This window comes from Homo sapiens, chromosome 20, assembly GCF_000001405.40.
Source record: "Homo sapiens chromosome 20, GRCh38.p14 Primary Assembly".
Taxonomy (NCBI): Eukaryota; Metazoa; Chordata; class Mammalia; order Primates; family Hominidae; genus Homo; species Homo sapiens.
In genome coordinates this window covers 6,465,659-6,478,265 of record NC_000020.11, presented here as the reverse complement: position 1 = coordinate 6,478,265, position 12,607 = coordinate 6,465,659, and the positions used below count along the sequence as shown (strand labels likewise).

The 12,607-nt window shown below is 39.3% G+C and overlaps 1 long non-coding RNA gene across 1 annotated transcript in view; it reads right to left on the bottom strand.

The window, feature by feature from the left end:
* Nucleotides 1-12,607, bottom strand: part of CASC20 (cancer susceptibility 20) — a 101,728-nt gene that overhangs the window by 50,194 nt on the left and 38,927 nt on the right. The window contains exon 3 of the long non-coding RNA NR_109953.1: nt 4,611-4,727. This is a non-coding gene — a long non-coding RNA (cancer susceptibility 20). The remainder of the gene's footprint in view (nt 1-4,610; nt 4,728-12,607) is intronic.

Here is a 12,607-nt window from a genome sequence, read left to right as displayed (position 1 = left end):
TTGTAGAAGACAACTTTTCCATGAACCAGGGGGCGTGATGGGGGGGGCGGGGGGTAGTTTGGGGTATGATCCAAGCACATTACATTTATTGTGCACTTTATTTCTATTATTGTTACATTGTAAAATAATATGTAATGATATAATTATATAATTCATCATAATGTAGAATCAGTGGGAGCCCTGGTCTTGTTTTCCTGCAACCAGATGGTTCCACCATTTTAAATCTATGATTTATTTTAGGGGAGACAGTCACAGATCATCAGGCATTAGATTCTCATAAGGACTGCACAACCTGGATTCCTCACATGAGCAGTTCACAATAAGGTTTGTGCTTCTATGAGAATCTAATAGAGTTCCCTGGCATGTGCAGTTCACAATACGGTTTGCGCCACGATGAAAATCAGTCCTGCCAGCCGCTGATCTGACAGAAGGCTGACTCAGGCAGTAATGTGAGCTATGGGAAGCCTCTGTAAATACAGATGAAACTTCACTCTCTCGCCTGCCACTCACCTCCTGTTTTGTGGCCCATTCCTAAAAGGCCATGGACCAGTACCTCCATGGCCTGAGGACTTGGGGACCCCTGACATAACATGTCCAACACTTTATTATACAATAGGCTGTGTGCTAGATTATTTTGCCCAGCTATAGGCTAATGTAAGTGTTCTGAGCATGTTTAAGGTAGGTTAGACTATGATACATCAAATGCATTCTTTTTAATTTTTTTTTTCATTTTTATTTTTTTAAGAGACAGCCTTTCTCTGGTGCCCAGGCTGGAGTGCAGTGGCACAAAGTTAGCTCATTGCAGTCTCAAATTCCTGGGCTCAAGAAATCCTCCAGCCTCAGCCTCCAAAAGTCAGATTACAGGTGTGAGCCACTGAACCCAGCATGCATTTTTTACTTACCACATTTTCAATTTATGATGAGTTTATCAGGATGCAACCCCATCTTAAGTTGAGGAGAATATGTATACACTGCATGCTACATGGAGTGGGAAATTAAAAATAAATATAAGGTAAATGAACTCTATAGCTAAGGCCTACATTGGGAGAAAGAAATGATGTCTCACATCTTATCGTCTACAGAAGCCAGCCAGAGGCTAGAAACAGAAACTTCCAGAGCTCCACTTGGACTTAGCTTCTTCCCCTCTTTGTCTGTGGATACTTTGTACATGTCAAAGTTCTCATAGTTCTCACAGAAAACTTCAGGCTAAGCATTAAACCTTTGATTTGTAATACTCATATCTCACATCTCTTTTGCTGGTCTAAGCCGAAGATTTCTTCAAATTAATAATCACCAGATTTTCACATTCATTAAAATCCAACCATACTCCAAGAAGTAAATACACAGAAGAGAGAACAGATGACTGCTGTGTATGCCTGGGGTGCAGGCCCTTACCCTCAGAGTTAAAGCTAAGCCCAGGCTCAGACTACCCCCTTTCCCACCATCTCACACCAGGGCAGAGTCACTTTGCTACAGCGTCTGCTCACCTATTCCCTTCTTGTCTAGTTCACAAAGCAGTGTGTGAGGTTTCCTTGTCTTGGACACACAGGTTTCATTGGAGAAGAAAGGGTTTGGCGGGTACCCCCATTGCTCCAGAGAAAGCTCATCATCAAGAACTGTAGAATGTGACCATTTCTGAGACTGAGGTGAGGGGAACAAAGGGCCTGGGGCCGGAGGTGAAGACTGAGGTCTAGGACCTGATGAAAAATGAAAGAATCACTGAGAACCACCCATCCCCCCACCACACACAGAGCAGCCTCATTTGTAAGTCCAAGGCTCACATCTTTCATTCCTGCATGACAGAGAAATGAAAGAAGGCTTCTTCCCCATGGCATGAGAGGTTCTCACCCAGTCCACAGGCTCTTTAGGGAAAAGAATGGAGTCCATGGGGCATACACTTACTTACTTGCAAACATGGCTTTAAAACGGCCACAAAGTGTTGATAATGTTAAAAAAAAAATGACATCATTGTTGGGTCCTTTCTTCACCATCATGTGTTCTTCATAAGAACCTGGGTTATTATTTTCAATACAAATTTTTATTACATTTACACATAACAAAATAGAGAAAATATCAGTACTATAAAAATCATTTTAAATCTATGGTTTACTTTAGGGGCTTAGATTATAATAATTCAGAATCTCTAATTAGAGATCATTCTTTATTATATTCTCTGTTTATTCATACTTGGAATTCAATTTGTATTTATAACAATATTCAAATAACAAATTGAAAAATAGATTAGATTCAAAATATTAAACATGGGGAAACCAGTTATGAGACTTACTGCGTTGAGTAAGAATCAGGATATTGGCAATGGGTATGAAAAAGACTATGAGAAGATAAAGGCTAAAATAATAGGAAATTATGCCTGTTTGGATAGAGGAATTGATTTAAGTGGGTGGCAGGGGGCTAAATGAAACTTTAGGATTTACTGCCCAGATATACTCACCTTGTTTTTATGTCTCCTATAAAAGGAATTGCCCAAATCCATTAGGTTCTTTGTATACTTCATTTCCCAGCTAAACACCAGTGGGCCATAGCAAAAAACCTCCAGTGCAAGGATGGAGCGCAAACTTTTTTTCATCAATATACACATGAAAGGCATACAAATTATATGTTCAAAAATAATGCAAGGCACAGCATTTTCCAGGCTGTGACATCAACAAGATGAGGTAGGAGAGGAGTAAAAGTTGCATTCCAGTAGTCATCCTCCCATCCCTTCTTTCCTTTACCCCACATCACAAAACCTGGTGAAATGTTACAGCCCAGCTCCTGTGTCTTCATGAGTCAGACCCAGTGCATGGCATGTCAGGTTAGAATCATTACCATCATGCTCAAAAAGCACCCTGACTCCAAAATGTATATGAGACAAAGAGAAACTGCTAGACGGCTAGACACTCTGCCAGCCATCCAAGAGTTACAATCTAAAATGGAGACTTTGGACAGTCAGATGACAGAGGAAGAAAATGTTAAATCACAACATCAAAGAACAATCATGTACTCTATCAACTTCCGAGTGAGGAGAAGTATTAGGTACATGATCAAGCGCAGTCCTTGAATCAGATAGACATCTAACAAGGCGAAATCAATGTAGAGCCATACACAAAGTGAACTTAAGGATTTGGTTAGTCCTTAAGAGTTATTCCCTTTTTTTTTTTTTTTTTTTGAGACAGAGTTTTACTCTTGTTGCCCAGGCTGGAGTGCAATGGTGCAATCTCGGCTCACTGCAACCTCCGCCTCCTGGGTTCAAGTGATTCTCCTGCCTCAGCTTCCCAAGTAACTGGGATTACAGGCACTCAGCACTAAGCCTGGCTAATTTTTATATTTTTAGTAGAGACGAGATTTCACCACATTGGCCAGGCCAGTCTTGAACTCCTGACCTCAGGTGATCCACCCACCTTGGCCTCCCAAAGTGCTGGGAATACAGGCGTGAGCCACTGCGCCCAGCCAGGAATATAGCTTCTTATTCCTTGGTCTATTTTTTCAGGGGAAGTCACCTGGCGTGGGGCGTGGACTCTCAGGGCTGGGCGTTAGAGACCTGAGCTCTGTTCTTGGTTCTATTGTTAACTTGTCCTGTCATTTTAAACAAAGTCTGTGTCTCAGTTTACCAATTTGTTAAATGGAAGAATCAAGCCAAAATAGACATTCCCAAACTGCTTTGCAAGTCATACACAGAATCAAGAGGTCCTTATGGTGCTGAACTATATGCACGAAAGGAAACAGAGTACATAGGAGAAGAAGGTGAAGATGAAGGGGAGAAGATGCTAGGATATAGTCCCATCCCTGCCTCTGCCAGGGCTACTTCAATCATCTCACTTTTCAAATATTAGCCTTCCTTCTAATATTTCTCTTGAAAACCATATTCTGATTCTAAAGATGCCTAAAACTCACTGGGATTAATGATTATTGAATTAGGCCTTGCCATTCCATTTTAACTCCTTAGAACATTTTCTTTGGTTTTTACTTATTTTATTTTGGGTCCTGAAAAAAGCATTTTGTATTATTTTTAAAGGACCAAAGTTTTAATTTTCATTTTCATAGCGATTTCAGTATGTGTCCATATAGTCCGTCTGACTGAACCATTGAGTGTATATTAGGTACCAAGCTGATACCGACTGATTAATTGATATGGTATACATGAAAGCTTTTGGTAGATTGATTCTGCACTGTGAAATCTTGGGAAATGCCAAACATGAAATTTCAATTACCCTGACTGTAAATAAGCGGGGTGATACTCCCTGTTAAGCATAGTAATTACTTTTTGCATCACGAGCCTTCAGGTGTTTCCTTCCTTCTTTGCACGGATCTAGCCCTTTCCTAGTCCCTGCAGTTTTGCACTACTGCTTAGAGAAGACTAGTAGCACTCTTCAGCAGAATAGCTCATCCATCTAAATTACACTTCAGTCAATGGCTAAGATCTGCTAAGCCTTGTCAATAAAAAATATATGTTTCTGATGACCATGCAGGGAATGTGCATTTGGGTATCTTTACCGATTTGCAGAGCCTTAGCAGAGGAGTAAACAATGTTTGACTTCAGCTTTGCTACTGACACTTACTACGGAGTTGCATGGCAGCCAGAATTAACTCTGCCAGTGGTGCTTACTCACCTGTCCCAGTCTTCTGCATCACTTCCTGATGAGACCTCCATCATCATTTCTTCTTTACAAGCAAAAAAAGTCATTTCACCCAGCTTGAAATCCATATGAAAGCTAGCATTTGTGATCCTAGGGAGCAGATATACAAAGAAAGCAACTGATGTTTGACTCAGATTAGAGGGCTGATTCAACTATTACAAATTGCTGTGCTTTTAGCTAGGGAAAATTAGCAGGCAGTAAAGCCATGCCCAGCTGGAACCTAAGCTTCTCAAATGTTACTCCTTGCACAACATAAGTTTGTCATGTTCATTGCCCATTACTCATGCTGTCTTGAAATACTACATCATAGTCTAGTGAGAAAAGCCCTGGGGCCAAACAGCCAAGTTCTAATCTCCACTTATGTCTTAGTTTCCACCTTCTCTGTAGCACAGTTTCTTCTTCTTTAACATCTCTGTCCCACCTATTTCTTTCTGGAGAGGAACTAAGATGAGGAGATAGTAAAAAAGACCAAGTCACTAATTTTATTTCCAGAATCTATTAGGAAAACCAAATCCAATCCCTTTCACCGTATCAAGTCTGAATTTACCTGGTCCTCCTAGAACTCTCAGTCATAAGAGACAGATCGTCTTATAGCTAGTAGTCTCTATTTATCATTGTTTTATCACCAACTAAGCTTATTTTCCTTAAAGCTCCTTCCATAATTATCTGTAATGCTTAGGCCCCTCCATTTAACCTGGTCAATCAAGGCCTGTGCTTTTCCTAGGCATGCCCAAAGAAGCATCTTATAAATTCTTTAAGCTGGAGGAAGGTGCAGTCGGCCTTAAGATGACCCAGGCACAGCTAGTATCATCATGTGCATCTCCAAGTAAGTGCCTTAAGGCTCTTCATCATGGGTCAATGCTTTTTTGTAAGAATGGGGACTGGCAAAGCCTAGAAATGGATCCAGCCACCTACAACTCTATATTTCCTTCCAAGTTCCATTAAAAAGTAAAACAAGTCCTTTCTTACAGACAGCACCTAAATATTACAAAGCTCTTACCCCACACTTCTTTCACAAAGACTCTACAAAGGGAGCAGGAGACACCACACAGCACTAGTGCTTCCTTTGCATGTCTATCCAGGTAGTGAGGGCATCCTTTTGCTGGTTAAAACCCCGTTAGGTGAGCTTAGCAGGGAATAGGATGTCAAGCTCTGGATTTTTACAGCATAGTTAGGTTGAAGTGTAGAAATGTGAAACATAGGACGTAATATAAAAACTTATCTTGTCCATCTCCCTCCCCACTATATTTTCTGTTTTTGAAACTGAAGTTGTTTTAGGAGGCTTATTACAACGAGGAATATAAGAATTTGATCTTCATAGGTACAGACACACAGTCTTGTCACCTATAGTAACAAATCCTCAACATACATATAGCAAATTCCAACTGTTGAATGTGTTCTTTTGACAGTGGAAGTGCAAGTCCATATGACTATATTCCTCCCTCCTTCCCTCTAGCTTATTCCATTAAAAGATCCCACCTGACACACCATTACAAATTTTATAGACTGTTCTACAAGGCTAAGTGAGAACAGATGTATCTAGCCTTATTACTCAAAGTGTGGTCCTTGGACCAGCAGCACTGACATCATCTGGGAGTTGGCCAGAAATGCAGACTCCTAGGCCTGCATTTTAACTTTTAAATGTATTACGAATCTGAATTTTTATTTTGCATTTTAAATTTAATAAAAAATCTGCATTTTAACAAGATTCCCTAAATGACTCATAAGTACATTAAAGTTTGAGAAACACTGTTTATAGCAATGGCTGTCAAACTCTGCTGCCTGTTAGAATTATCTGAAAAACTCTTTAAAATCTCAATGACTAACTACCCTCAGCCAAAATCAGTGAGTTAGAGTCCCTGGGGGTGGAATCTAGACATCAGTGTTTCTTAAAACCCTCCAGTTGATTCTAATATGCATCCAAATGTCAGAACCGACATGTAAGGTACAAAGACGACAACCCATAGATTTATACCTTTAGGTGGTGGAGATGGGCAGTACAGAACTGAAGGGAGAAATCTGAGAAATGAGACTTTTGAGGCACACTTCCTATGAAGTAGGTAGGCCCCAGACTCCCATATGAGAAGAACGCACAGTATGAACCCATGATACACTCTCATGGCTAAGGCCACCTTGGGGACTGTAACTATCGCACGGCCACGTGACACCCAGATTGCTATGTCAGAAGTCCTCAATAAATACGCAATTTCATTGAATGACATCTTAATAGTACAAAAATGGAGACAATCTTCCCTCAATCATTTATCAAATTGGAATATTTTCTGAAAGGTGAAGAGCTGGGAGATTTTCCTACATTTTCTTTTATCCTTTCAATAAACCATCAAGGTGGTTTTTATTATTCCCATTTAAGGAAACATATTATCAGGAAGCTAAAGCTTATGGGTATAAGGAAACTAAAGCTCTGATACTGTGTGAGTTTTCTCAAGTTAAACAGCTAGTAGCAAATAAATTGAAGGACTAAAATAAAACTCAGTTCTCCTCAACTCTTGACATTGCAAAACTAAGTGCATGGTGAGAAAGAGAAAAAGCCCCTGCCAGCCAGCCTTGGTGTTGAGGAACTGGCCTTGTGTCCCCAGCTATGTCATTATTCTGTCCTGTCACACATACAAAATTTCCCAGAACACCAAGATCAGATAAATCCACTCTGTGACCATGATGGATCAAGAAAAAAACAAGACCACTCCATAAACACATGTAAGCACAGATAAAAGCATAAATACTGTCCAAGCCAGCATAATGACTAAATACTCCTATATCCTGGCTAATACGAATGTCTGCTGATTCTTCACCAGTTAACAGTGTTAGCCTCATATCATTTCTTTTGCCTTCTAAATAGGATCATGAAGATACCCAATCATAGAACTATCTCTGTACCAAATCATAAAATTGCTTCCCAACAGCCTCTACTTAAAAGCAAAGCTCTCCTTCCTTAAACCCTTCCTAAGATCACCCAGCACAAGCTAAAATCCCATAAGTCCTTTCTAGCACCCACTTAGCGAGACACTGAAAGGTTTCCCATGCCGTTGTCTTCCCTGTTGAGTTTATTTTAAGCTGATAACAACTTAAGTTCAATCACATCCAACTCTACACTTCTTATTATGCCCTCTTTACACTTCGTTATTGATGGCACAATTTACATCTACTTGTATTGTGTATCTCTTAACATTACTATATTTAATACTTTTATCTTTTAATTAGTATACTAGAATTAAAAGTGATTTGCCCACCACTGTTACACTAATAGAATATTCTACATTTGTCTATATATTTACCATTAGCAATGAGTTTTATACTTTCTCATGCTTCATGTTCCTGTTTACATTTCAAGTTGAAGAACTCCCTTTAGCATTTCTTGATTAGAAAGTCAATGGATGCTTGTTAAGTTGAATAAGTTCTCATTCCACTTTAGCCTGACATTTTCATCAAATTAAAGAACTGAACCCTCTCTAGTGATAGTAGTTATGTTCTCCATGCAATATAATACAGATACAGGTTACTACATCTTGAAAACTCAGATCTAGAGTTTTCTAGTAAGTAGAAAAGGGAATTTACAAACAAAATGTTGACTTTCATATTTTTAAATGACCAACAGAAACTACAACTTACAGAATTGATAACATCCTCTCTAGAAAGAATGCCAAAAGACAGAATAAATATCAAATGATACATACTGTGTTTGCTTTAGGAAGGGCAAGATGGAATGGTCGTTGGCTGAGGAATTTATAGGGTGACTAACAAGCATCGAGGAGGCTGTATACCACAATAATTAAGCACTGAGGTTCTGTAATCAGGAAGAACCGTTCAAATTCTGCTTTCACCACTTAATAGCTGTGTGTCTTGGGCATTACTTTACCTCTTTGATACGGCACTTGCCTAACACCTGACAAGCTCTCAACAAATGTCTAGAAAATTGTTCTTAACCAAAAATAGTTGCCCATTTCCCCGTCTTCCTGAAATGTTTACCATTAGTCTCTCCTTTAGGTGGGAAAATAGAAGCCCGCTATGGGAATTAAAATGTTATTTAACAGGTTTAACTAACTTTGCCATTCATTTTCAGAATGTAATACTGTAGGGTAAAGATGTACCATTAGAATATTGGATATCTAAGGAGAAGAGGAGGATATAAAAATTGGAAAGAAGAGGCATGGAAAATAAACATACATTTCTCAGTTTTTCCTAGGGCCATCCAGTTCTCACATAAGCCCCACCAAACACCCAATAAAAACTTGGTTCAAGACAGCTGAAAGAGAAACAGAAGGAACACATGTGTTTCTACATTTATAAACAAAAGCATGATGTAGCTCAAGCTTTGGGAGTCACTTGTACTTCTGTAATATTTTAATATCTTCCTTAGCCTAAGTTTCTTTTTTTCTATTTCAAAGAAATGCAGAATGAAAACAAAATTTAGTGAGCTTCCAAAACATTGTGCTAAGTGAAAAGAGCCAGTCGCAAGGAACCACATATTTTATCATTCCATTTATTTTAAATGTTTAGAATCGGCACATCCCTAGGGTCAGGAAATAGATTCGAAGTTGCCTAGGGCTGGGGTTAAGGGACAGAGGAATTGGAGGAAGTGAGGAGTAGTGTGTAAAACCTCAGAAGTGCAGGGGTTCTGTAAAATAATTCAGTTAGTTTTATTTGCATATATTATTTATAGAGAAAGAAAACATTAACAGGAAATGACTCAAGCATGTCATGCAAAGTTGCCTATAATTTTTCTTTTACATTCCCCTTCCCTGTGTAGAGAGCTATATGTAAATATGGAAGTAAGCAATGGGCAAATCATTCAATTAATATTGGTCCTTGCAGGCATAATGCTTTCAGTGTGGAATTGTAGACAGATATTAAGCAAATAAATATTCAAATCAAAAAAAGTAAGTACAATATTGTGTTGAATGATCATGACAAAGATCAATTATTGGGCACTTGGCCAACTCAGCCTCCTAGTACTGCATTCCCCATGCTATTTATGCTTCTGTGGCTGCTCTGGGCATGTCTTGTCATCAAGATACTAAGTGCTTTGAGATAGAAGCTGTGCCTTATTCATCCCTGGGCCCAGTGCTCAGAACAGTAGCATGCACAAAATAGATTCTTAATACATGTAATTGACAGCATAACCCAAATATAAAAATCCTGTTATTACTGGAAATACAGACTTTGGCTGAAAATATTGAGAGAGGCTGCCCTAATCAATTGCATGCCTCAACAAATTGACTAAATATAGTCATTCCTCACTACCTGTAGGGGCATTGACTCTAGACCCACTGCAGATAACAAAACCTGCATATGCTCAAATCCCTTATATAAAATGCAACATTATTTGCATATAACCTACACACATCCTCCCTACTTTAAATAATTTCTAGATACTTACAATACATAATACAATGCAAATCCTATATAAATAATTGTCATACTATATTGTTTAGGGAATAATAACCAAAAAAAGTCTGTACATGTTCAGCACAAATACTTTTTATTTTCCAAATATTTTCAGTCAGTGGTTCCTTGAATCCATGGATGCCAGAAGCCATGAATATAGACAACCAACTGGATATCCAAACAGAGAATATGCAACTCCTTATTAATAAGCCACTTTTTAAATATTTAGCTAGCTATTACTAATTATAAGTGTCTATGACTTCCATAGTATTCTTTTTCCTCTCTCTCCATGTGAGACATAAATTGTAGCTTCTGCATTTAGAGTCTGATTTTTTTCTTTTTTCCTGAAGAGGCAAACTCAATCAATGTTTCTCAAATTTTAACGTGCACATGAATCCTCTGGGGAGCTTGTTAGACAGCAGGGTCCGATTCAGTGGATCTGCATAGGCCTGAGAGTCTGTGTCACTAATGAGTTCCCAGCTGATACTGATACAGCTGGCCAGAGACCACTCTTTAAATAGCAAGGCAATAAATCTCAGCACAGGATCTCTGGTGGTGCTTCCATTACAGGGGAACCCTTTCATTTATTATAGTGCCAAAGTAGCCTCAAGTTCTTCAAATAGAAGTGTAAAATCAAGCTTTAAAATGGAGACTTTTTTTTTACACAGTGATTTTATTTTATTTTATTTTATTATTTCGAGATAGAGTCTTACTCTGTTGCACAGGCTGGAATACAGTGGCATGATATTGGCTTTCTGCAGCCTCAACCTCCTGTGCTTAAGGCGATCCTCCCCCCAGCTTCCTGAGTAGCTAGGACTACAGGTGCATGCCACCACACCCAGCTAAATTGTTCATTTTTTGTAGAGATGAGGTCTCACTATGTTGCCCAGGCTGGTTTTGAACTCTTGGGCTCAAGGCACCCTTCTGCCTCGGCCTCTCAAAGTACTGGGACTACAGGTGTGAACCACCATGCCCAGCCTACACGATGATTTTAAAACATTCAAATTGGGGAAATTTTATAGGAAAATCCAGGTTTTTAGCTTGTCTTAAAAAGTCAGCAACACTGCTCCACCCTCCCTGCTTCCCACAAGACACAAAGATACAATGTCTTGTTGTCCATGGTCTCCAGACCACTGGCCTCTATAGATACAGAGGGCTTTGTCCCCTGTCTAAACATTAAGGAAACAAGAAACTAGTTCAGAACTCTGCTGCCTTCTCTAACAAGGCTAACAAAAGGAGGCACAATGATGGGGATCATTTATACTCCAGGTGTTGGTCATTGTAAGATAAAATGTTGGGTGACCTTACAGAAATTTGGCTTTAAAGTTTAAATCTGGGTTCTTGAAAACTCTCTTTGATATGTTATGTTTTCAAAAAGAAAATATTTGAAATTCAAAAAGAAAAGTAAAAGAAACCGAGACTCATGTGAGAAACATTGAGCAATTTCTAGAAAAATCAAAATGTATTTGAATTCCTTGAGTTCATAGTGTCCCGGTTGGGAATCTAGGACCTCACAGTCTCTGGGCTTTGCCCAGCCTTGTTGACTTACCCATGGTTTCATTTTGATAAAAATAAATTCCAGTGTTGTTGAAATCATGGTAAACAAATTCCTCCTCATATCGCTTCCTGTTTTCCCTTCACTTAGGACCTTGTTCTTTGTTTATGGAAGGTTATGAAATTTTCTGACTCAATGCATTCTATTGGTGGAGCTTCATAGAGAGACATTCTTATCACTTCTGCTCAGCAGAACTTGGGGTGACATCAAAAATGTCTCCACCACTTACTCAAAAATCCTCAAACCAAAAAGCACATAGTAAGTCTTTGCTGTGAACGTTAAACAACATACCCAACATATGTTATTGTATGCTTTCCCTGTGAGAGCCAGAATTAAAAAGCATACTGACTGAATGTGTAATGTGGGGGAAAAAACTATGACACTATGAATCAAACTCCTGGTGACTTCCAGGCAGTAAGTACTATTTGAATATAAATACTTGGACATTTTTTCATTTATTGAGGGTTGTCTGAGGCTAGATTTCCCAGAAGCAAAGGGATGTGAGAAAGCGTCCAAGTGCACGTTGATTCACTGGGAGGCAATCCCAAGAAGCACTGGGCAGAATGGGAAAATGAGGTAGCAAAAAAAAAAAGGAAGTGAATAAATATTATGTTCTTAGGCAAGTTACCTCTGTGGGCACCTGGAGCTTAATCTAACTGGAAAACTCCTGGAGACAGTGCGTAATACATTCCTCAGAGTTACTCTACCCAAGGGGCAAGGAAGCCAGGGTATTTATACACAACCCCCCATGCTTGAGAGTTGCTTCTCCAGCATTAACTCTTTGGCATTTCTGACTTGCCCTGTTCCTGAGTCTAGTGGGTACCTTCAGTCAAAAAAGCCCCAAGGAGAGTGGCAGGTGTCAGCAAAGTCACCTCCAGCATGTAGAGGTGAGTGCTGAGAGGATGTGAGCAGAGCTCTAAATGCACCTGCTACAAGGGCCATCTGGTGACATACACTTACCTAGGCATTGGGATGAGCAATGAACACACAGCAACAGACAAGAAAAACAAGG